The sequence below is a fragment of the Homo sapiens genome, chromosome 1 (assembly GCF_000001405.40).
Source record: "Homo sapiens chromosome 1, GRCh38.p14 Primary Assembly".
NCBI classification, from domain to species: Eukaryota; Metazoa; Chordata; class Mammalia; order Primates; family Hominidae; genus Homo; species Homo sapiens.
The window spans coordinates 245,762,829-245,787,167 of record NC_000001.11 but is presented as its reverse complement, the minus strand read 5'-3'; the positions used below and the strand labels follow the sequence as shown (position 1 = coordinate 245,787,167).

The window sequence follows — 24,339 nt, the reverse complement described above, 5'->3', positions numbered from 1 at the left end:
TATCCAGGGCATAGCAAGGCTGTGGTTCGGCCCTGTGACATGATGTGTGATCTTGAAAAGTAATGAAAGTGGAAGAAGGCGTTGTAAAGATACCGCTCTAATGAACACAATTCTGTTTGCCAGCATTTTTTCCTGCTAGCAAATTATATTACTCCATCAACTTGGTAGAACATCAATAACATCTTCAGAGGATAGCTGTGAGAGCTGAGTTACTCTATGACAGGATTTTTGAAGACAATGTAATTTCATATTTCTCAATTTTCTTTGATTTTGTGCTGAGAAAATGGAAGACCATAATAAATATTTTCCACAAATGGTGTCTTAAATGGAATCACAGCTGGTAGCAACAGTATTCTACCGTTTATTTAGATGCTGGATTCCAGATTTTCTATGTGAAACAACCATGCTGGCAGATTCATTGGTTTCACATTTTTCTAACACTTTTTTTTTTTTTTTAAGGGATGAATTAGGCTTCACGTGTGAACTCCTGGTGGGCGCTGTGGGACGGGTGATGCTGGGCTGCCAGCTTGTTTGTACTCAGTGGTCTCAGAGTGTGTTAGGGTTCTTGCATTGATTGGAAATATTTCAGTTAAGAAGTTAACAACGTACATGACTGTTAGGTGAGGTTCAGTGAGGCAATGAGATGGCTGGAGAGAGCTGGGTTCAGGAAGCACAGGCTGAGTTCCGATCTCAGCCCTTTCACGCCGTGAAGACTTGGCCAAATCACCTCGCCTCTTGGAACTTTGGGTTCTACATTGCGTTAGCAACATGATAAACTGTACAGTTTTAATCAATGAAGTAGTGGATGTGAATTTGGCTTGTGGTGTATAAAGATGCCATACTTACTGTACTTACATTTATTAGGTAGTATAATCTTTGTTGTTTTGATATCATACCCAGGTTTCCGTAGGCTTCTTTTTCTTCTTAATATTCTGTTGCCACCATCCCCCCCCCGTCCACACCCCAACTCAACTCAGTGCTTATCCTTACAAAGCTTTGTTCTCAACTAGTTATCATGGTAAGTTTTTAGGTAATAGTTGTAGTATCTAGTATCTCCAAGAGTGATTGCTTTTTAAAAAAAAAAAAAAAAAGCAAAACTTCTACAAGTTAAAATAAATGTAACCGTGGTATAGCTGCATCCTAAAAGGCTCTTAGAAAATTCTGGCTGGGCACCATGGCTCACACCTGTAATCTCAGTACTTTGGAAGACCAAGATGGGAGGATTGCTTGAGGCCAGGAATTTGAGACCAGCCTGGGCAATATAGGGAGACTCCATCTCTACAAAAAATAAAAAAAATAAAATTAGCCAGGCATGGTGGCATACACCTGTAGTCCTAGCTACTTGGGAGGATGAGGCAGGAGGATCTCTTGAGCCAAGGAGTTTGAGGTTACAGGGAGCTATAGTCACAGCACTACACTGCAGCCGGTGGCAGAGCAAGACCTTGTCTGCCTGTCTCTCGCTCTCTCTTGCTCTCTCTCTTGCTCGCTTTCTCACTCTCTCACGCACTCTCTCTCTCTCTCTCGCTCGCTCTCTCTCTGGGGGAGAGGTGCCCTGTCTCTTGAAAGAAAACACCAAGGGGATGGGGAGGGGTTGGGCAAAGGGATCCTTATGGTGAGGAATCACCCACCCAAAAGGTGGGAGTAGGCAAGTGAGTGTAAATTAATGCTTCTTTGGCCTTTTGAGCACCTAGCGGGCAGCATGTGAAAGGCACAGTATTGCATCTGCAAGTATAATAGAACCTTCCATGTGAGTGATAAAAACTTAGTCTGTTGATTGAAAGGACTTAGAGAGCCTCTGAGGTTATAACATAATACCTGGATAAAGTGGAAATTACTTTAGTGGAGGATTTTTTTTAAATGCTCCTGTATTTTTTTACTGTAACCATTGTGACAATTGGTATTTTCAAAAGATGTCCACTACAATATCTCCTCCTCCACATTCTCCGTAATGTAACATTACCATTTCCCCATCAAAAAATTGAGTCTGGCCTGGCGTAATGGCTCATGCCTGTAATTCCAGCACTTTGGGAGGCCGAGGCGGGTGGATCACTTGAGGTCAGGAGTTTGAGCCTCAAGTGATCCACCCGATCCAACCTTGAGGTCAGCCTGGCCAACATAGTGAAACCCCATCTTTACTAAAACCCAAAACAATTAGCTGGGCACGATGGTACATGCCTGTAATCCCAGCTACTCAGGAGACTGAGGCCAGAGGATCCCTTGAACCCGGGAGGCGGAGGTTGCAGTGAGCCAAAATTGTGCCACTACACTCCAGCCTGGGCAACAAGAGTAAGACTCCATCTCAAAAAAAAAAAAAAAAAAAAAAATTCAGTCTAAATTCCCTCCCCTTGAATCTGGTTTTCCCTAAATGAAGCTCTTGTAACTGCTAGAATGCAGCAGAAGTGAATCAATGCGACTTCCAAGGCTAGGGTGGATGAACCCCTGCAGCTTCTGCCTTGGTCCTTGGCAACACTTGGCTTTCCAGAAAGGTCATTCTTGTGACATTCCCTCTTAGAACCAAGCTGCCATGTTTTGAGAACCTAAAAGGAGAGGCCACTTAAGTACTCTTGTTGATAGTCCCTGCTTGAGTTCATTTTTTGGTCACTTGAGCTCAGGTGCCAGAGGTGAAAATGAAGAAGCCATCTTGGAAATAGATCTTTGAGCTGCAGCTGTTTTGAGACACCCTTGGCCATTTAAGTCATCCTAGCTGAGGCCCAGATATAATAGAACAGAGGGGAGATATCCCTGCTGTATCCTTCGTGAATTTCTGACCCACAGAATATGTGACCATAAGAAAATGGTTATTATTTTATACCACTACATTTTGGGGTGGTTTCTTACACAGCAGTAGATGACTAGAACAACCATTTGCCATACATAGATGCTTAGATACCTCTCCTGCAACACTTCCAAACTAGCTTTTCCAAAGTACAGTGGAAAACTGGAAACAGGGCAGCAGTGTGGTAAGTGAACATCGCAGAATTAGCATGAGAACTAGTGCTTGCTACTTCTGGTCTTCAGTAGTGTACTTCTCTAGAAACATTTGAAATCAGATCACATCAATCCTCTAGTTTTGCTCCTTTTCCAAAATTGTGCTAGCTGCTCTAGTTCCTTTGCCTTTGCATGCTAATTTTACAATACTCTTGTCTATAGCTACAAAAACTCTTCCTGGGGTTTTGATAGAAATTGTTTGGCCTATATATCAATTTGGAGAGAATTGACAACTTCACTGTGTTGAGTCTTCCAATGCATGAACACAGTGTGGCTCTTTATTTATTTAGATCTTTCATCTGTGTTTCGTATGTTTTAGCATACAGATACTGTACATGGTATTTTTAGGTGTGTATCTAAGTATTCAATTTTACATTCATACCTAAGTAATTTTGTGTTACTGTGTTTTTTATTTTGGTTTTCATGTATGTCTTGCTAGTCTGTAGATATATAATTAATTTACGTGGGTTGAGTTTGTCCTGCTGCTTTACTTAATTCACTTATTAGATCTAGAAATGTTTTTGAAAATTCCTTGGGATTTTCTACATAGGCAATCATGTTACCTGTAAATAGGGGCAGCTTATTTTTTCCTTTCTATTCTATATCCTGTTATTTTTTTTTTGCCTTATTACACTGGCTAGTACTTCCACTATTATGTTCAATATGAGTATGGATGACAGCCATCCTTGCTTTTTCTCCCATTTTAGTGTGAAAGCATTCAGCATTAATGTTTGCTGGTGGAAATGGTACACAAGTTGCCCTTGGCTTAGTGCTCTTTGGATTCCCTCATCAGATCTGTAACTGGACAACAGATGGATATGCTCAGTCTACAGCTGGTTCTCACAATCCAGTGTATTTTTATCTATTGGGAACTGGTTGACTGAAATGGCATCTTCTCTTAGCTTGCTTTTCTGGTACATGAAACAAAGTACCTTGAAAACTGAATACTGTAGAATGTACTTCTGTGAAGGCTCCTCATATCTCAGCCTTCTCTTATCACGTTATGTATGATACCTGCTTATGCCCGTATTCAATGTGACACCATTCCTGCCACTTCTCTCCACTCTCTACCCTGCATTTTCCCAGAAGTTAAAGTCTGTATATGGAATAAACATATTGGCTGAGGAGAGAGGGACCAAAATGACTGCGTATGTCTGCTGTAGAAGCCAGCCCCACATGGTGCACAGACAGTTGTGCAGATTCTTGCTTGGTGCAGACTTGATTTCTGATCCATGATTCTGACAGTGTGAAGGGTCCTTGTCACTCTTTTCAGCCAGGCAGTCTTACCCTCATAGCGTTTCACTATGCATTGCCCTCAGCAAAATTGTGGCTCAGAAGAACTCCTAGACTCTGGCATTAGGTAGTCTCTTTCTAGACTCAGGCATTGGCCCTAGTTTTAAAGTGTTTTAAGTTGAATTTAATTTTTTTATATTTAAATCTTTTTATATCTTAATAGGTATTTAAAAATTAATTGGGAATGTTGTATTAGAGGTAAATTGTTAGATGCCGTTTTGACTGTGAGTATCTAGTTTAATCATTCAATTACTGATTTTGTCACAGGCAGTCATAGCCCCTGCTTTAAGTTGCCAAAATAGCAAACAAGCCATTAATTATATTTGCAGAATTTAAAAAGCATTGCCAGCAGCTTCTCAGGACCATCAAGTCAAACCCACATGGTTTTGCCACTTCCATGCCGTCAGGTGTTTGAATTCCTGCCTCACTTTGACAATGGCAAAATAAACAGATTCCCAAAGGGGAGAAATCTTTCTTTTCATGAACGTTTACTCTTCCCTCATCTTTTTCCCTTTCTTCCTCCCTTTGAAAAATACTGCTTGAGCAGTACTTATGGCTATGTGTTTGTGCTTTACCAAAAACTGTCAAAATCTTACAAGTTGATAAGTATGAATGGAATAAGATTATTCATGGCTGCAGGGGCTCCTCTGGAGACAAGATTAAAGGAACTACAGTAATTTGACCTCTAAGTAGGGATTTGATTCTCTAATTAAGCATAGGAAATGCATATACCCTTCCACAATGTAGAAGGAGTGATACATATTTGGTTTAGAGGGAGGGTAAAGAACTAGCCTTTTTGCCTGGCCTTCAGAGACTGTGAGAGGAGAGGGTGCCTGAGCAAAGAAAGCTCTGAATGCGTAGGTATCAGACATAGTTTCTTTTTTAAAAAAAATTTTGATTAGTTAATATTTTTTTTTTGAGACATAGTCTCACTCTGTCATCCAGGCCAGAGTGCAGTGGCACAATCTTGTCTCGCTATAACTTCTGCCTCCCAGGTTCAAGTGATTCTCCTGCTTCAGCTTCCCAAGTAGCTGGGATTACAGATGCATGCCACCACGCTCAGCTAAATTTGGACTTTTAGTGGAGACGGGGTTTCACCGTATTAGCCAGGATTGTCTCCACCTCCTGACCCCAGTGCTCGGCCTCCCAAAGTGCTGGGATTACAGGTGTGAGCCAGCGCACCTGGCCCAGACATATTTTCTTTAATGGTCGCTATGGAATTTGGAGGAGACCATTATAAGACACATGTGCTGAACTGTTTTAAATTGTATATTTTTAATGTAATAGCAACTACCTTGCAAATTGGTGTGCTAATAAGAGAGGATGGAAATGGGGTTACTTGCAGAGAGTTAGGTATATAAATAGTGCCCTCAATGTGTGATCATTCTTTGACTCTTGGAAGAAGGTGGCATTTTTCTCAATTTTCCCAGTACTATACTTTATAGTTAGCAAATTACACTGGATTTGATTTAGTGGTTAAGAATTCCGTAATCATTTTGCCTGGAATCAAATAATAGCTCTGCCATTTTCTAGCAAGTTACTTAATCTGTCTATGCTTCAGTTTCCTGATTGCTAAAATGGCAACAATAATAGTATCTGTCTCATAAGGTTGTTTAATTTTTAACAGCTTTATTGAAGCATAATTTACATATCATAAAATTCAACCATTATAAGTTGTACAGTTCTGAGTTTTAGAAGTTTTTATGGTTGTGCAAAAATTCTCACAATCCATTTTTAGAATATTTCTAGTATCTCCAAAGTTTTCCTGAGGCCTGTTTGCAGTCAGTTCATACCCATACCCAGCTCCAGGTAACCACATTTCTGCTTACTGTCTCCATAGTTCAGCTTTTTCTACAAATTTCCTATCAATGGAATCATATATGTAGCCTTACTTTACTGCTTTCTTTCACTCAGCATGTTACTAAGGTTCATTCATGTTGTAACATGTATTAGTACTTTGTTACTTTTTATTGCTGAGTAGTTTACATTGTATGGATATAGTACATCATATTTATCTACTCCCAGTTGATTATTTGGGTTATTTCCACTTTTTTGGCTATGATGAGTAATGCTGCTGTAAACATTCACATATAAGACCTTGTATGGACATATATTTTTATTTCTCATAAGTAGATTGATTCCTAATAATGGAATTCAGGGGCATAATGTTTAATCTTTAAAAAAATTGAGATAGCGCTTGCATACCATAAAATCCACTTTAAAAGTGTACATTTCAGTGGGTTTTTTAGCATATTTACAAGGTTGTACAACCATCACCATAATTTAATTCCAGAACATTGCCTCATGCAAAAAAAAAGCCTCATGCTTGTTAGCAGTCATCTCCAACCCCCTTTGGCCACATCCCATGGAAACTACTAATCTAGTTTGTGTCTCTGTGGATTTGCCTATTCGGGATTTGTCATATACCATTTCACATAAATGGAATCATATAATTTGTGGCCTTGTGTGTCTGGCTTCTTTTACTTAGCATAATGTTTTTAAAGTTCATCCATGTTGTAGCATGTATAAACACTTCATTCCTTTTCATGGCTGAATAATATTCCACCATACGGAGATATCAACTTTGTTTATTTATAAAATGATAGGCATTTGGATTGTTTCCATTTCTGGGCCATTATGAATAGCACTGCTATAAACATTCGTATACATGTTTTTGCATGGACTTGTGTTTTCATTTTTCATGGGAACACACCTAGAGGTAGAATTGCTAGGTCATATGATAACTCTGTCGTTTAATGTTTTGAGGAACTGACAGATCATTTTCCAAAGTGGCTGTACTATTTTACACTCCCACCAGCAGGGTATGAGGGTTCTCATTTCTCCACATGCTCACCAACACTTGTTATTATCTGTCTTTTTGGTTATCCCCATCCTAGTGGGTGTGAGGTGGTACTACACTGGCTTCGAGTCACGTTTCCCTGATGGCTAATCATGTTGAGCATCGTTTCAGGTGTTTATGAGCCATTTGTGTATCTTCTTTGGAAAAATATCTAGTCAGATCTTTTGACCATCTCACTCGAGTCTTCTGTTTAACTTTTTAGGTAATTGCCAAAATGTTTTCCAAAGTGCTTTACCATTTTATATTCCTATTAACAATATATGAGGGTTCCAGTTCTTCCACATCTTCACAAACACAAAAGAATAGTATTGATAGTTTGTTTGATTTTAGCCAAAAACTGTCAAAATCTTACAAGTTGATAAGTTGATAAGTATAAAACAAGATTCATAGCTGCAGAGGCACCTCTAGGAACAAGACTAAAGGAACTTGTAATTTGAGTAATTTGAGTAATTTGAGCTCTAAGTAGGGATTTGATTATCTAATTAAGCATAGGAAATGCATATATACTTCCACAATCTGGGAGAAGTCATATATATTTGGTTTAGAGGGAGGATGGAGAACTAGCCTGTTGACCTGTGGTAAAGGGTACGTGGTGGTGCTCATTGGAAAACATTTTCCTGGTACCTAATTATGTTGATCATTTTTTCCTGTACATATTTGGCATTCATATATTGTCTCTGTAGAAATGTCTATTCAAGTCTCTTGACCATTTTTTCTTTTCCTTTTCTTTTTGGCTTTGTTTTATTGAGTTCTTGATATATTTTGGATACAAGCCTTCAATCTGATGTATATTTTGCAAATAATTTCACTCTGTAAGCTGTCTTTCCATTTTCTTTTTCTTTTTCTTTTTTTTTTTTTTTTCCCCTTGGGACAGTGTCTCACTCTGTCACCCAAGCTGGAGTGCAGTGGCCCAATCTTGGCTCATTGCACCCTCCTCCTTCTGGGTTCAAGTGATTCTTGTGCTTCATCCTCTCAATTAGCTGGGACTACAAGCGCATGCCACCACACCCAGCTAATATTTGTATTTTTAGTAGAGACAGGATTTCACCATGTTGGCCAGGCTGGTCTCGAACTCCTGGCCTCAAGTGATCGACCCGCCTCGGCCTCCCAAAGTGCTGGGATTACAGGTGTGAGCCACCACGCCAGGCCTCCATTTTTTAAATGTATCTTTTACAGAGTAGATGTTTTTAATTTTGATGAAATTTTTCCATTTTTTTCTTTTATGAATCATATTTTTGGTGTCATATTTAAGAACTCTTGCCTAACTCAGGGTCATGAAGATTTTCCCCTACGTCTTCTAAAATTTTTACGAGTTTGTATTTAGGTCAATGATCTATTTGAGTTCATGGCCTCATCATTGACCTTGATATATAAGTTATGAAGTTCAGGTTGAAGTTCGTTTTTCTTCCTAGACTAGACTATACATTTTCCAAAGAAGATATACAAATGGCTGATAAACACATGAAAAGATGTTCAACATTATTAACCATTAGGGAAATGCAAATCAAAACCACAGTGAGATAGCACTTCACACCCACTGGGATGGATATAATAGAAAAGGTAGATAACAGGTGTTGTTGAAGATGGTTAAAAATGCCATCCTTACTCCATTGAATTGTTCTTATGCCTTTGGGAAAAAAAAAATAATTGGCTACATTTGTGTGAATCAATTTCTTGAATTTCTATTGTGCTCCATTCATTTTGTGTCTATCTCTTTGCCAGTGCCACACTGTCTTGATTACTGTGGCTTTCTAGTAAATCTGAAAATTGGATTGTGTGAGCCCTCCAATTTTATTATTTTTTAGAATTGCTTAGACTCTTGTAATTCCTTTGTGTTTCCATATAAATTTTGGAAACAGTTTGTCTATATCTACAAATATCAAGCTTGGATTTTTATTACAGTTTCACTAAGTCAATTTAAAGAGACTCATCATCTTTACTATATTCACCTTCATTTTTAAATGGTAGTTTCTCCGGATATAGGTATCTCGGTTAATAGTTTGTTTCTTTTGACACTTTGTATCATTTTCCTGCCCTCTGTCTTTATTTCTTTGGGGGGTGGGGGCAGGGTGTAGAGACAGTATATCTGGTGGTTTTGGTTTGGGAACTGAACATTTTAAATAATGTGTTATAACTGCATTCTGTTTTGTTCTGAGAGTAGTTGGTGAGCATTTTGTGGTGTATTGTTTTGTAACTTGCTTGGACTTCAGCTGCAGAGTGTGGAGTACGCAGTGGAGCTCATCAGTATTGTCTTTGCTTAGTGTCTTATTCTTTTTCTTCTTTTTTGTGATGTGGGCAGACCATTAAGCTATGCAGAAGACACAGGGGGACCTCTAGGAAATACCTTGAGCCTATAAGGCTTCCACTCTGCTGGTCACTTGTGTGTGAGAAGATACATTTAAGGTCCTCAAATCTCCTCTGATTTTTACTTTTGATGAGGTTCTTTTGGGTCTCCCTTGTGTACATGCAATTTCCCAGTTATCCAGGTGATACGGAGAGTTGGTCTCATTCCTTCTAAGGCTGACTTGGGGGTGAATGGTAGATGGGAATAGCCTCAGGCAAGAAGACCATAGAATCCTGATTTTCTTACCTTAAAATATAGTTATTTTTAAAAAAATAAACACTTCTCAATTTTTTGTCTACCTTAGATCAATTTCTGATGCCCTAAAGTGGTTGCCTTTGGCAATTTTGACTAGTTTTGTACTCATTTTCTATGGACAAGAACTACTAATTACTTTACACCATCATTACCAGAGTCTGCTTGAATAAGATTTTTTTTTTAGAATAAATTCAACTCAAAGTCCTTAGGACAGTGCCTGACATGAGGCAAAGGCACTAACTGTATGAACTGCTGTTACTGTAATTACCATTATTCTTACTAGTGATGCAGACAACTAGGCAGCCCCACCTCCCAGACCTATTCATGGTTGTCCATTACGATCATTTTTTTAAGGGATCCTCTTCCTGGCCTCTTATTTTTAGTAACTCCTTTGTCGTAGAGCAAGTGTCAGCAACTGTTCTGTGAAGAGCCAGGTAGTAAATATTTTCAGCTTTGCAAGCCATACATCCTCCTACTTAATTCTGCTCTTGTAGCTTGAAAGCAGCTGTGGACAATATGTAAATGAATAGACACGGCTGTGTCCCAACGAAACCTTATTTACAAAAGCATGTTGCTCATGGGATTTGGCTTGTGAGGTGGAGTTTACCAGCCTCTGCTATCGCCTCACTTTCTCATGATTCTGCATCTAAGCAGTGCTAGCTGCTCTGCTACAACAGGCTATATTTTTTCTTTGAAAATCTTCAAAGAAGAGAACATCTCTGCTTCCCAGCACCACAATACGGCACCTTCCAACACCTGTGCTATGGAAACCCATCCTATGACTTCTTCAAGGTCTGTGGGCTCTGAGTACTTGGCATCTGTAGTGATTGATTTCAATAAAGTACCAGTAACACTACTGAAATCTATGTCAACAACATCACATGAGTATAGGGTTGTTAAACAACATTGTAGATACAGATACATACGGCTTGGTAAGCTCATTGATGCCAAACTATATTTCATCTTCTATTTTAAAGTAAATTGTGCAGCTTTTTATTCATATTTAATTTTTATGACTCTCCTCTTTTCTTTCCAAACAAGGAAAAGGTATGGGTTTTTTTTAACGACAATGCTCCTTTCTTACTGATGTAACACTCAATCTTTGAGATCGTTAAATCCCTAGATTACCTATTAACCTGACTGCTCTCCGCAAACTGGCTTTGTACTCAGAAATTAAAACAGAACATTAAATCAGTTACATTAAACAGAACATTAAAAAGTCTTAATTAAGACTTTTAAAATTATTAAATAAATCACATATTGTGAAGGATATATAAGTCACAGATGAACTGTTTAAAGAATTGTAAAGAAAGTATGTTACTTTCTTACGGTCTTCGTGGATGTAGAGAGGCTTTAAAACGCTTGAATACTACTGTTTCTCCTACTGATACATATGCTATAATTGTTGTGTATTTTAATTTTTACCATATTTTAACCCACAAAAATTATTTTGTCAGTATTCATAGATTTGCCCATATTAAGCATTCTCTTTGTCCATTTTTTCTTGTATCTTAGACCATCCATCTGGGATGATTTTCCTTTCAACTAAAATGTTAGAAATTCCTTTTGTGAAGATCTGGTGACAAATTTTCAATTTTTCTTTGTCTAAAGATATTTTTATTTCATCTTTATCCTTTTTAAGAGATTTATTGAGAGACAGTTTATACAGCTTACAATTTATCCATTTATTTTTTTTATTTTTTTTTTTTTTTAGTATTTATTGATCATTCTTGGGTGTTTCTCGGAGAGGGGGATTTGGCAGGGTCATAGGACAATAGTGGAGGGAAGGTCGGCAGATAAACAGGTGAACAAAGGTCTCTGGTTTTCCTAGGCAGAGGACCCTGCGGCCTTCCGCAGTGTTTGTGTCCCTGGGTACTTGAGATTAGGGAGTGGTGATGACTCTTAACGAGCCTGCTGCCTTCAAGCATCTGTTTAACAAAGCACATCTTGCACCGCCCTTAATCCATTTAACCCTGAGTTGACACAGCACATGTTTCAGAGAGCACAGGGTTGGGGGTAAGGTCACAGATCAACAGGATCCCAAGGCAGAAGAATTTTTCTTAGTACAGAACAAACTGGAGTCTCCCATGTCTACTTTCTACACAGACACAGCAACAATCTGATTTCTCTTTCCTTTCCCCACACTTCCCCCCTTCCACTCGACAAAACCGCCATCGTCATCATGGCCCGTTCTCAATGACCTGCTGCGTACACCTCCCGGACAGGGCGGCTGGCCGGGTGGGGGTGTCCCCCACCTCTTGGAGGGGGCGGCTGCCGGGCGGAGATGCTCCTCACCTCCCAGACGGGGCGGCGGGGCAGAGGCTGCAATCTCGGCTCTTTGGGAGGCCAAGGCAGGCGGCTGGGAGGTGGAGGTTGTAGCCAGCCGAGATCACGCCACTGCACTCCAGCCTGGGCACCATTGACCACTGAGTGAACGAGACTCCGTCTGCAATCCCTGCACCTCCGGGAGGCCGAGGCTGGCGGATCACTCGCGGTTAGGAGCTGGAGACCAGCCCGGCCAACACAGTGAAACCCCGTCTCCACCAAAAAAATACGAAAACCCGTCAGGCGTGGCGGTGCACCCCTGCAATCGCAGGCACTCGGCAGGCTGAGGCAGGAGAATCAGGCAGGGAGGTTGCAGTGAGCCGAGATGGCAGCAGTACAGTCCAGCTTCGGCTCAGCATCAGAGGGAGACCGTGGAAAGAGAGGGAGAGGGAGACCGTGGAGAGGGAGAGGGAGACCGTGGGAAAGGGAGAGGGAGACGGTGGAAAGAGAGGGAGAGGGAGACTGTGGGGAGAGGGAGAGGGATTTATCCATTTAAAGTGTATACTTCAGTGGTTTTCAATATATTTTAATATATGTGCAACCATGACTACAGTCAATTTCAGAAGATTTTCATCATCATCAGAAGCCCTGCACCCTTCAGCTCTTCAATCTTATTCTTGAAAGATGTCTTTTGGGATGTAGAATTCTAGAGGAGGAGTTTGTTTTCCTCAGAACATGGAAGATGTCATTCCACTGGCTTTCTTTCAGCTTCCACTCTGCAACTGCTTGTCAGCTCTCTGGGACTCTTGCATGTAATCTGTTTCCTTCTGTTACCGGCAATCATGTCTTACTTACCATTCCAAATAAGTTGAACGAAAGGAAGGATTTCCTACTAGACCCCATCCTGCTGGGGAGACAGTGGGCTTGCTCTTTTGTCCCCCAAGTCCCACAGAGCAGAGGAGGACAGAGACTCCAGCAGACCAGCAGTTCAGCTATTCTGCTTATTTGTCAGGAGTCCTTCTTCACTCACATTCTGGCCTGACAATGCCTTCCTATCTTGCCAGCATCTTACTGCTTTTTAGAATATTTCATCGAGCGTTCTACATTGTTTTCAGTATGCTCCCATTGAATCGGTATAGCTACCATGCCTGCTGCATTTCTAGGAGTAGAATATAAACCAACTTTTATAAACTTGAACTAAAACGTTCAAATAAATTTAAAATTTTCTGAAAATTTTAAACTTTCTGCTGTTAAGTTTCTTGAGGAATGATCTGAATGATATGACCATCTTTGGAGGGCTTGAGTGTGTACATTCAGAACTTTATCCCACACAAGGATAGACTATACAGAATAAATGCAGTTTTTGTAGGGAATATCTCATTACCATTTTTTCTCAAGGATGTATTAAACTAAATTATGGTTATTTTATACTTCAGTTGTGCTAGCCAGCCTTTTTGAAATCCTTCAAGATGTCATCAAATGTTTCACACTCTAAAAAAATAGTGCTGTCATATATGAGACAGGCAAAAGGACAGCATTATCACTGTTAGGAGTCTTCAAGAGGAAACTGTTTACATGAAGTGGAGGACTGTCCTGCCTGCCTGGAAGATGCTGGCCAGTCCTCACCCCTGCGCCACACTGAGGGCCATCCACACAGCCCCTGAGGTTTCCCTGCTGCCAGCCAGGCTGCTCGCGGGCATGAGAGTGAGGAAATTTTTAAGTCCAGTGTGAAGTGAAAATAATTGAACACACTTAATATAAAAGTTACAAATATAGGCAAGAGTTTCTCAGTGTGTTTTCTAGAAGGAAAGACCAAAACCCCAGTTTGGTTCATTATTGGATGCTTAGTCCTATCTGCAACATAAGTCTTTCCCTTAATGAGGACACTCACCCAGAATCATCTCAACTACTCCAGGCTTTCCTGTGTGTTGCTGCCCAAGCCCCTTGTATTTTAAAAGAAACAGGCAAATGTAGCAGTAGTTCAAGTGGTTTTCTGTTTTTTTGTTTGTTTGTTTTTGGCTGTGGAAAATGACCATTTTGATGCTATCATGCTTTTTTTTTTTTTTTTTTTTAGTGATTCTCCCCACCCCCAACCCAGTGTGTAATCTCCATGTGGGTGCAACAGTGCATTCCACTAATTACCATACATTTACTAGCCCTGGAAACTTAATAATACTAGTTTGTGTTCGTATGGAGTTGTATACATTTCCAGATGCTCTCCAATCTCTTATCACATTAGTTGTGAAATAGTCATTCAACTAACTGGAAGAGCCATGTCTTCAGCCCAAATCTTGTATCTCCTTCATTCTAATTTATCTACTGCTTTCCTACCCTCTGTGCTCCTGAGTCTGAATAACATGGACATTTCAGATAATTGAAAGTCTCTTTTATTCTTATCTGATTAAAGATTCTAATAATGGATCATGTGCAAAGTAACTCTTAATTGTCAAACTAATAAGAGTAAGAAAACCCTACTTCTAAAAAAAATATGTATTTATTTGTAGAGATAGTCTTGTCTGTCACTTAGGCTGAAGTACAGTAGCACCATCATAGCTCACTACAGCCTCAAACTCCTGAGCTCAAGTGATCCTCCCACCTCAGCCTCCCAAGCAGCTGGGACCACAGCTGTGCAACACCAAGCATGGCTGACTAGTTAAATTGTTTTTTTTTCCTTTTGTAGAGATGGCATCTCACTATGTTACCCAGGCTGCACTTGAACTCCTGCCCTGGAGCAGTCTTCTCTCCTTGGCCTCCCAAAGCACTGGGATTAAGGGTGTGAGCCATGGCGCCTGGCCTAAACCCCACCTTTTGAGTGAAGGACCTATTTGGTGGAAGGTTTTAAGAGAAGTAGAAATGTATCTCAGTTTATGAAGTAAAAGAAATGCAAGAAAAATTTCATTGCATTAGATAAAATCTCACTGTGATGTTGTCAAATCCTGTGTGACACCACGAATTTTCTTTCTGTTACTCACATAGAGATGGGGGAGTGCAGATCCATCTTAATGATATGAGGCCAATAGTACATATCAGAAACCAAACAAGAGCTGAGGGTTCAGTCTGGGCTGGAACCCAAGTTCTTTTTCTTTTGGAAACAAGAATTCACGGCCCTGATCTCCCTGTCACCAACAAAGCACAGCAGTAGAGGTGATGGAGAAGCAGTGATTCATCACCCACTTGGGAAACAGCACCTCTCCAGAGTAGCAGCCTGGGTGAATTAAGGTCATGGTAAGAAGTAGTTCTCCGTGTTCTGAGGTGGTTTCATGACTGTGGGGCCCATCTTTTTTTTTCCCCTTTGGTTTTGTTTCCTGATGTTAGGACCTTTTTTTTCCCTCCCAGCAACAAAAATATATCATATTACTAATAAAGTTATCCTACCACAAAGGCATAAATAACTTCCATAAAACAGCTGCTTTAAATTAAACAGAGCCTAAGGAACATCAGAAGACTGACTCTATGTGCCTCTTCATGCCTCTTTGTCCCGTTTACTCCTGGCATATGACACTGAGTTTCTACATTTGCTTTAAGACCTAAAGCGAAGCCTTTTAATGTTCACTGTGGGCTGTTGCTCCCTCTGCTATTATTCTAGCTATCAAGTCTATGTCTGTCTAATGTCTTGAAACAGCATTGGAAGGCTGTTATATACTGTTCATTGAATGTATCATTTTATTTCTACAGAAGGCTCAAAATTTAGTAAAATTCCAAATCTTTTGAAACTTGAGGCTATCTCCTGAAGTCCATCATTTCTAAAAGTGAAAAAGTAAAATCCAGTGCCCTGATTATGAAAATTTTCAAATGTACACAAAAATAGAATAATATGAACTTTCATATGTCTATCATCCAGCTTCAGTAATTCTTATCAAGATTTTGCCACGCCTACCTTATCCCTCATCCTTCTTCTTTTTCCCTTTGCTGAATTATTGTAGTTTCTGTGCAATTCTTAGCATTTTTTAATCTGTGACTTGCTGTCTTTAGTTTTGAAAATGTTCCGCCATTACAGCCATATGTATGTATGTATGTATGTATATATACATGTATATATATGTATGTGTATATATGTATGTATATATGTGGGTATATATATGTATGTATGTATATGTGTGTATGTGTGTGTGTGTGTATATATATAGCTTCTGCCCCATTCTCTCCTTTCTCTCATTTGAGATTCCAGTTGACACATATGAGACCTCTGCTCCTGTTTATTTCTGTTACATTGTCTCTGTATCTTTGATGGATATGTTCATTTGACCTACCTTGCAGTTCACTAATTCTTTCCTCAGCTCTGACTAATCTAATGTTAGACTGTTAAGTTCTTAATTTTAGTTTTCTATTTTTCAGTTCTAAAATTTCCACTGGTTATTTTTTACATAATTTCTGATTTTTCTGCTAAAATTCTTACATATTATTTAAGTTCTCAAACATATTTATGAGCTATTTTAAAGTCTGTGTATGAGAACCTTACCATTTCAGTACCTGTAGGTCTTATGTCACTGTCTATATTGTTCTTCTTGGTTTTCAGAGAGTTCTTGTCTTTTTGTATGCCGGGTTATAATTTTACCAAATGCAGAACATTATACAGAAAATTTGAGATAAGTTGAGGCTGAGGATGATGTTATCTCCTTCAGACATGTTTACTTTTGCTTCTGGGAATCAGGATAGAAAGAGTTCGTACCTTAATCCAATCAGGATTTGAAGTGATTCATTCTTTGTAATGGCTGCTTTATTTCTAATTTACTATACCTAGATAGATTGTAGTCCTTTGGTGGTCAGAGTCGAAAGCCAGGAATGTTTACTGGAGCTCCTTGTTATCATTGTTGATCCCTGAATTCCAGTTTCTGTGTCTCCTTTTCTATGAGACTGCCAAAAATATTGCTCAGCTGGTGAGCCTCTCTGTCTCTAAGATCATCAAAGGGAAAAGTACCAATGAATACAAGGTTCACCTTCCACTCTTTCCATGATCTTGACTTTTCAAGATCTTGCTGCCTCAGTGGCTCCTTGATACCTTCAAACAGATTCTTAAAAATACTTTTTTGTCTATGTTTTCCTGTTTACAGCATTTCGTGTTTTCAGCAGCAGATAAGCTGCTTGGTCTGAAATAAGCTACTCCACCATTGCTGGAAGCTGAAAATCTGCTGAAGATACAGTTGGCCCTCTAAATTCATGGCTTCTGCGTTGAGTGATCTCTGCTGGATTGAACTGGATGCAGAACATGTGGATATGCAGGGCCAGCTGTGTTTTTGATCTGCAGTTGTTGGAACCTGCAGATGCTGGACCTGGGGATTTATAACCCAGCGATACCATGGGCTGACTGTAAGAGACTTAAACATCCACAGATGTTGGTATTTGTGGGGATCCTGGAACTAACGTCTTGTGCATACAGAGGACTGACTATATTTAAGTGAAATCTCAGATATTAGGTCATTTAATTCATACGTACCTCAGTTTTGTATCTCTGAAAAATGAGGACATTTTTTCTTCCATGCGCAATGCCATTTCATGCTCAGATTTCCTGGATTATCCCAGAAATATGTTTTTACAGTTGTCTTGGCTGAGTAAGGATACACAAGGTCTGCACCTCGTATTTGGCTGTTACATCTCTTACATCTCTTTTAATCTACAGTATTCTTCTCCCGCTACCATCTTTTTCTTTCGATGTGATTGACTTGTTGAAGATCCCGGGTCCGGGCTTTTGTAGAATTTCCCGTACCCCAGATTCAGCTGACTGCTCTACTTGTCCCTCTGTCCCTTGTTTTTTGCATGAAATGGGATTTGACTTTGCAGCCTTGGTTAGATTCAGCTTCAGTGTGTGGGGTTCTGTTTTGTTTCACAAGGATCGTTGAGGGGTGGTCAAAAATAATTCCTTCTGCGTCGGATGGCACTTAGTGTCTAGTTGTCCTCCTTCGGTGGTGCTAAGATTGATCAGTGGATTTAGATGGTGACAAGTTAATCCACCCACTGTAAAATTCTTTACCATCCTTTTATCTAATGGTTTCATCAAGTGATATTTTCTCCCCTCAGTCCAATAATTCTCCAGGAGTTGCAAAATGATTTTTCTAATTCTGTCATCATTCCACATTTATCAGCTAAAATTCATACAACTGGAGCTATTTAGTTACTCTAAGATACAATTTAAATAGGCAGGTTAAGTTCTCCTTTCAGGTTCAGTAATATGTTTTGCATCAGTTTTTAAAAAATAATTGTATTAACTTAGTTTGTGCTGCTACACCAAAATACCATAGACGGTAATTCACCAAGAACAGAATTTTTTTTTTTCTCACAGTTCCGGAGGCTGGGAAGTTCAAGTCATGAAATCCAAGATGAAGGTGCCAGCAGGTTGTCTGGTGAGGGCTGCTTTCCATTTCCAACATGATGTCTTGTTGCTACATCCTCTGGAGGGAAGGAACACTGTGTCCTTACACAGTGGAAGGCAAACAAGCTGAACACTTCGTGAAACCTGTGTTATAAGGGCTTTAATCCCATTCACAAGGGGAGGAGCCTTGATGACCTAATCACCTCTTAAAGGCCGGACCTCCAAACACTACCACATTGGCCATTAAGTTTCAGCATCTGAATTTTGGAGGGAACACATTCAAACCAAAGCAGTAGCCCTGAATAACAAAGGCCTTTTCCTACCCTGTGAATGCCAAAGCTGCCATCTGTAACGGAATAATGTGATTGGTAATTGTGTCACGTAGGACCAATAGAGATCAGCAACCTCAGCCAGACTGATAGAGATCCTGGCATCAGATATTTCTTCTCCATGTCCTTTTGACTTCAGATCCCAGTTCCCTGACTTTCAGCCTCCCTGTAAAATATATCAGTAAGATCTTGGTGCTTGTGGGTCTGAGTTAAAGCTGGTGTGTACATTTCCTTCTTTTCTCTGCTTGTTTAAACCCATTTCTTCTTATGCACTTATTCACCATAGAAACACCAAAAACATTTTTTTCCAATCTAGGCCAAGCATTCTGGAACATGTGATTGCTAGCATTATACCTGTGAAAGGAAAATTTATATCACCCAAACAAGTAAACTGCCTTGTTGAATGATTTTGTTGTTATGTAGTTTGCTTGTATGTTTTTGTGGAAGCGTTTCTATTTCTGAATCATGGAGTCAACTCAGACTCCACTGCACCCCCTTGGATCCCCAGATTCTGTTAAATCAGCTGCATAACCTTTCTTGTACCAAGTCCTTCTTTTCTGTTGATATTGCTGCTATCCTACCTCAAGTATTTTTGCCTCTAGGGTCTGTTTTCCAATTTTCTTGGTTTTCTATTGTGATAAAATATCTTCAGCCCCCTTTGGTAGTGCCTCACTGCTGGCAAGGTAAGTCCAGAGTTCCTAGCTTTGCGCGTGTGTGTCTGCACAGCCTGGCCTCACTGCTGGCAAGAGAAGTCCAGAGTTCCTAGCTTTGCACGTGTGTGTGCCTCTGCACAGCCTGGCCTTGAGTGCACCTCCCTTCCCACTCCCCTCCTCTGCTGGCCGGACCAGCATGCTCACTGCCCTTTGGCATTCAGCTTCCTATCCCATCACCAGAGCAACCATCCATCCCTTCCCTTGTCCCAGGATCCCATCATCATCTCCAGTGGAAACACACTCAGGCTCTGCCACTCCCCTGATCACTGTGGTCCCGGCTGCTCCCAGAGCACACATTGTGTGGTTTCACACATATTGACGGGGTTTCACCATATTGACCAGGACTGTGCCCTGGTCAGGTGGCTGTCACATGCCTTTCTATATCATGATTTCATTTGCCTCACCTGCAAACTACATGCTAACCAAGGGCAGGGACTCACTTTGGACTTCTGCAGATTGCTTATGGGGCCGGACCCGGAATCCAGTATCTTGTAGGTGCATCTTCCCCTCACCTTCTCACTCAGACTCCTGCTTTAGTCCTCACGGTCCTTGGACACACCTGATTGCTGCTTCACTTTGGACTCTTAATCCCGGTCTTTATTTTTGACAATCCTATCAAAAGATGACCGTCTTTTTGTCCTGTCAAGACTACTACCTCCAGGCCCTCTTCTCTCCCCATCCCTGCTCTACACCATGAAGTGGATGGAAGGCCACACCTTTGAAGAATGTCTCCCAGCAGGAGTGAGCTTGACCAGCTTTCCTTGGAGTTATACTCCAGCAAGGAATCATGATTTTTATTCTCTATGTCAGCTGGGAGGCCTCCAGAAACCAACCAGGCCCGCAATCAGCAGCCCCATAGAGCTGTGAGGCTGCCCTGGAAATATTTATTTGGAAGTGCCCCTGGACAAGCGCTTCCTCATGCTCTCCTTTGTAAGCTCTACTTCATTTTGAAATATCTGAGCTACCGGGGCAGGTACCTGTCATGGCGTAATGACACACCGCTTTCTCTGCCATCGTAGAACTGAAGATTGTCTTTCCTTCTGCTAACTGACATGACAGACATCTACTTAGTGGAGTGATGATTAGTGTAAGATCACTTTTTGGCCTTTAAGTTTAATGATGCTACATTCGTAGTAATAATATAACACCCCAAATCCAGGCGTGCTTTTCAAGGAAAGTGTCCAGGGCAGTTACCCTCTGATGATGGCGTCCTGCCCTTATGCCTTTTGTCTGGGGATCTTAAAGTCATTTCTACACAAATAGATAATGATGTTCATTTCGTAAGGGGTGAGAGGTAAAGTGATTGACCCCTTGGCATACTGAAGAGATGAAGAAAAATCCAGGACCCAGTGTCTCCTTTGTTGTTCCCCCTTCCGCTCCCTTTTCAGCCTTTTTTTTTTTTTTTTTTTTTTTAAGACAGAGTCTCGCTCTTGTTGCCCAGGCTGGAGTGCAGTGCTGCAATCTCGGCTCACTGCAGCCTCTGCCTCCTGGATTCAAGCATTTCTGCCTCAGCCTCCCGAGTAGCTGGGACTACAGGCGCCTGCCACCACGTCCAGCTAAATTTTGTATTTTTAGTAGAGGCGGGGTTTCACCATATTCACCAAGCTGGTCTCAAACTCCTGACCTTGTGATCTGCCCACCTCGCCCTCCCAAAGTGCTGGGATTACAGGTGTGAGCCGCCGCGCCCAGCCCCTTTTCAGCTTTTTAAAAGAGGCATGCCCAACTTTCTGTCGGTTTAAATACTTTCCTCCCAGGTACTGCTTTCTACTTCTTAAGAGCATGAATGAAAAAAAAAGTGTTTCTATATCACATTTCATGGGAGGAAGAGTTAAGATTCAGCGAGAGGGAATGGTTTGCAGATATGTGTGCATTTTCAGAGAACATACCTGTCTCTCCTGGTAAATCCGCCTCATCACTGTTATATAATAGAGCTTAGATGGGGTTCTCTGGGTTCATGGATGAAAAGCAGTTGGAACAGCGCCTGGCACATGGCAGGCCCTGCGTGAGTGATGGATTCTAGGTCATCTTAGTGATGTCTGTGGGCAGGCACCTCCGTCCCTGGAGAAGCAGCATTTAGAGTGTGCCCTTGCTCGTTCTCTCTGACGGTTGGGATATGCTTCCCTTCTCCTACCCAGCCAAGCCTCTCCAAATCCTTGGGAGCCAGTGTAAGTCCAATTTCCCACCTCCAGGAAGCCTTCCCCAGTCCAACCAACCATCAGTCACCTCTTTGTCTTCACAATACTTGTATCATTTTCTCAGTTCAATTCAACAAACTTGAACTGGACATCTAGGGTATACTAAGTTATGCCTTATTTGGGCGCTAAATCATGCTCCGTCCTGTAACATTGTTTTAACTCCTGCAGGAATGTTTATCTTGTGTCTAATGGGATGATTCAGCCTCAAGGAAAAAACTTTTTTTTTTTTTGAAACAGGGTCTCACTCTGTCACCCAGGGTGGAGTGCAGTGGTGTGAAACTGCAGCCTCAGCCTCCAGGGCTCAAGTGATCCTCCCACCTCAGCGTCCTAGGTAGCTGGGACTACAGGCATGCTCCACTACACCTGGCTCATTTTTGTATTTTTTTTTTTTTTTTAATAGAGAAAGGGTTTTGCCTTGTTACCCAGGGTGGTCTCAAACTCCTAAGCTCAAGCAATCCGCCTGCCTCGGCCTCCAAAGTGCTGGGATTACAGGTGTGAGCCATCGCACCTGTCCTGAAAAGCTCATTTAAACTGTGGTTTTGTGTGTGTGTGTGTGTGTGTGTGTGTGTGTGTAGGCATTTCCACCAGAGACAATTCTGCATATACAGCGGGGGCTCAGTATTCTCTAAGAGTAGGGGTAGGGGGTATTGGGGCCAGAAGAGGCCAAACTGCTCATATTTGGTTAAATCCAATATGGTAAATTCTTGTTGAATTGAAGTAATACAGCTCTTCACAGGGTCTGAAACAGCCCATAGCCGGAGTCGTGTGCGTCCTCTTTCTTTGGTCCACGACAACACCGTATTCTATTCTGTTCTATGTGAAAGGGTCCAGTATGGATTGAGTTCCTCCTGCATGTCAGACATCATGGAGAACGCAGATGGGGTGCCTGAATAAAAAGCACTATAATCCAGTGAGATGATAAATAAATACACACGTGCTCATAAGAAAGGTGTACCATGATGGACTCCACAGCTGAGATTCAATCAAAGGGCTTTGCGGTTAAAAGGGGGGTGTGGTAGGATCTAGTTGGGGGATGATGAAAACTTTGTTTATTCAACAAATATATATTGAGAGGCAATCTGCTGTTCCAGGGCTGTGCTAGTGCTGATGCTGATGCTTCATGGAAGAGCTTGGAGGAGGAGATTAGCACCTGTTCTCCCCGCCCCACCCCTCCCAAATATCAACGCAGAGCTCCAAACTTTTGTTTCTCTTCTCTAGTGTTTATGAGGGAGACCTTCTAGTCCTGTCATTTTTTTTCCCTAACACAAAACACATTCTGAGGAGCTGGAGACCAGTCCTGTGTCAATTCCCCTCAGTACTGCATTCTCCTGGATTGCAAAGCTGATTTCCTTTCAGTAGCTCATTAACATTCACAGCTAGTGTCTGCTTCCACTTTCGTAGTCTCCTGATGAAATGCTGACTGCAAAGGTGAGGGCTGCTGACACTGTTTGCCGTTTGGTTTCTTCCAGGATTTTTTTCCCAGGAAGCCATCCCGTCAGAGGGGTTCAAGTGATGAAAGTTGGCAAACTGCAGCTACATCAAGGCATGTTTCCCCAAGCAATGAAGAATCTGAGACTGGTGAGTGTGCCAAGATCTCACATAGTTCTGCCTGGCATCCTTTTTTTCTGCTGTTGCTGGGCCTCTTTGTGATTTGTTAGCAGCTCTATGTATGTGTGCACGCATACACACGCATGCCCAGTGTGTGCTGGTAAATGTTTAACAACCACTCTGGAAAAAACCTGCTTCATGACATTTGCCTATTTCTGTGATGCAGGCATGCCCACCATGGCTGATTTTAAATGTAAAATCAACCTTCTTATAAAAATAATATTAACAATTACTCTTGCCACTGGTACAAACCAGTCTGAGAACACCACTGCTCCTGTGCCCTCTCCACGTTTAGCAAGTTGACCTTGTTTGTGCCTCCTCCCCATTGCCCACGGAACACAGTCCGTGTCCCTCGCGTGGCAAGCCCTTGACCATCTGTGTGGCAGTTCACCTTTGCAGCCACTTCTCCCCGCCCTTCCTCTCTTCCTTTCCACCCACCCAGTGATCACTGCTGTTCACCAGGACCCACTGTGACCCTGAACTTCTCACTCCTCCATCTTCACACAGCTATTTTTTCCTCTGCCTTAAGTGCTCTCCGCATCACAACCCCCTGGGCTTGGCAGGACTCTGCTGATCCTTTAAGGCCCAATTCCAGTGTTACTTTGTGGTCCTACCCCTACAGCTCTCTGCCCACCCTGCCAGGAGAGCCCTTTTCACATTGCAGTAGGCATACCCGATGACCACCCTTACCCCTGCCCCCAGGAGAGTGTGAGGGCTTCGTGGTTATCTTGGCAACCAGCTCAGTGCCATGCAAGGGATCTGGAACTTAGGAAGTATTCATTATTGAGGGAAGGAGGAGGGAGGAAGCGAAGGAGGTCAGTGAATACGGTTCTGGCAATAAGTGTCAAGAAACTAATTGGGAGAACTGGTTTAGGGTTGGAATAGCTTGTTAAAACACGATGGTTAGTTTCACCCGCTCAGGGAGTCTCCTCTGCCCGGAGGAGCCCAGGGCTCTCTGCTGTCTGGCCCAGGCCTTCCCACCTCAGCAGAACTTCCTCTCCTCTAGTCCGTGACCCTTCCAAAGGAGAGCTCACATGCTCACCTGGCCAGGCACTGGTGGGTTGTATGGAGACCTGGCGTGCGGGTATCATAGGAAGCGCTTGACACTTTAACAGGACCCTCTGGGCCGCCATGCCCTTGTGTGCAGAAGAGTGACGGTGGAAGGATCGGGCGTCAGGGTTG

At 41.6% G+C, this 24,339-nt stretch overlaps 1 protein-coding gene across 19 annotated transcripts in view, besides 3 other annotated features; it reads left to right on the top strand.

The window, feature by feature from the left end:
- SMYD3 (SET and MYND domain containing 3) overlaps window positions 1–24,339 on the top strand; it is a 757,933-nt gene that overhangs the window by 720,112 nt on the left and 13,482 nt on the right. For all 19 annotated transcript variants that reach the window (NM_001375962.1, NM_001167740.2, XM_047428020.1 and 16 more), the window contains one exon: window positions 23,019–23,127. In NM_001375962.1, the coding sequence (NP_001362891.1) occupies window positions 23,019–23,127 (109 nt within the window). The remainder of the gene's footprint in view (window positions 1–23,018; window positions 23,128–24,339) is intronic.
- Window positions 10,932–11,772: an enhancer, noted in NCBI's record as "OCT4-NANOG-H3K27ac-H3K4me1 hESC enhancer chr1:245938698-245939538 (GRCh37/hg19 assembly coordinates)". NCBI's record gives its function as "activates a minimal SCP1, AML or CMV promoter by ChIP-STARR-seq in naive H9 embryonic stem cells {active_cell/tissue: H9 hESC(naive)}" and the evidence as "EXISTENCE:reporter gene assay evidence [ECO:0000049][PMID:30033119]".
- Window positions 11,773–12,613: an enhancer, noted in NCBI's record as "OCT4-NANOG-H3K27ac-H3K4me1 hESC enhancer chr1:245937857-245938697 (GRCh37/hg19 assembly coordinates)". NCBI's record gives its function as "activates a minimal SCP1, AML or CMV promoter by ChIP-STARR-seq in naive H9 embryonic stem cells {active_cell/tissue: H9 hESC(naive)}" and the evidence as "EXISTENCE:reporter gene assay evidence [ECO:0000049][PMID:30033119]".
- Window positions 23,770–24,297: an enhancer, noted in NCBI's record as "NANOG-H3K4me1 hESC enhancer chr1:245926173-245926700 (GRCh37/hg19 assembly coordinates)". NCBI's record gives its function as "activates a minimal SCP1, AML or CMV promoter by ChIP-STARR-seq in primed H9 embryonic stem cells {active_cell/tissue: H9 hESC(primed)}" and the evidence as "EXISTENCE:reporter gene assay evidence [ECO:0000049][PMID:30033119]".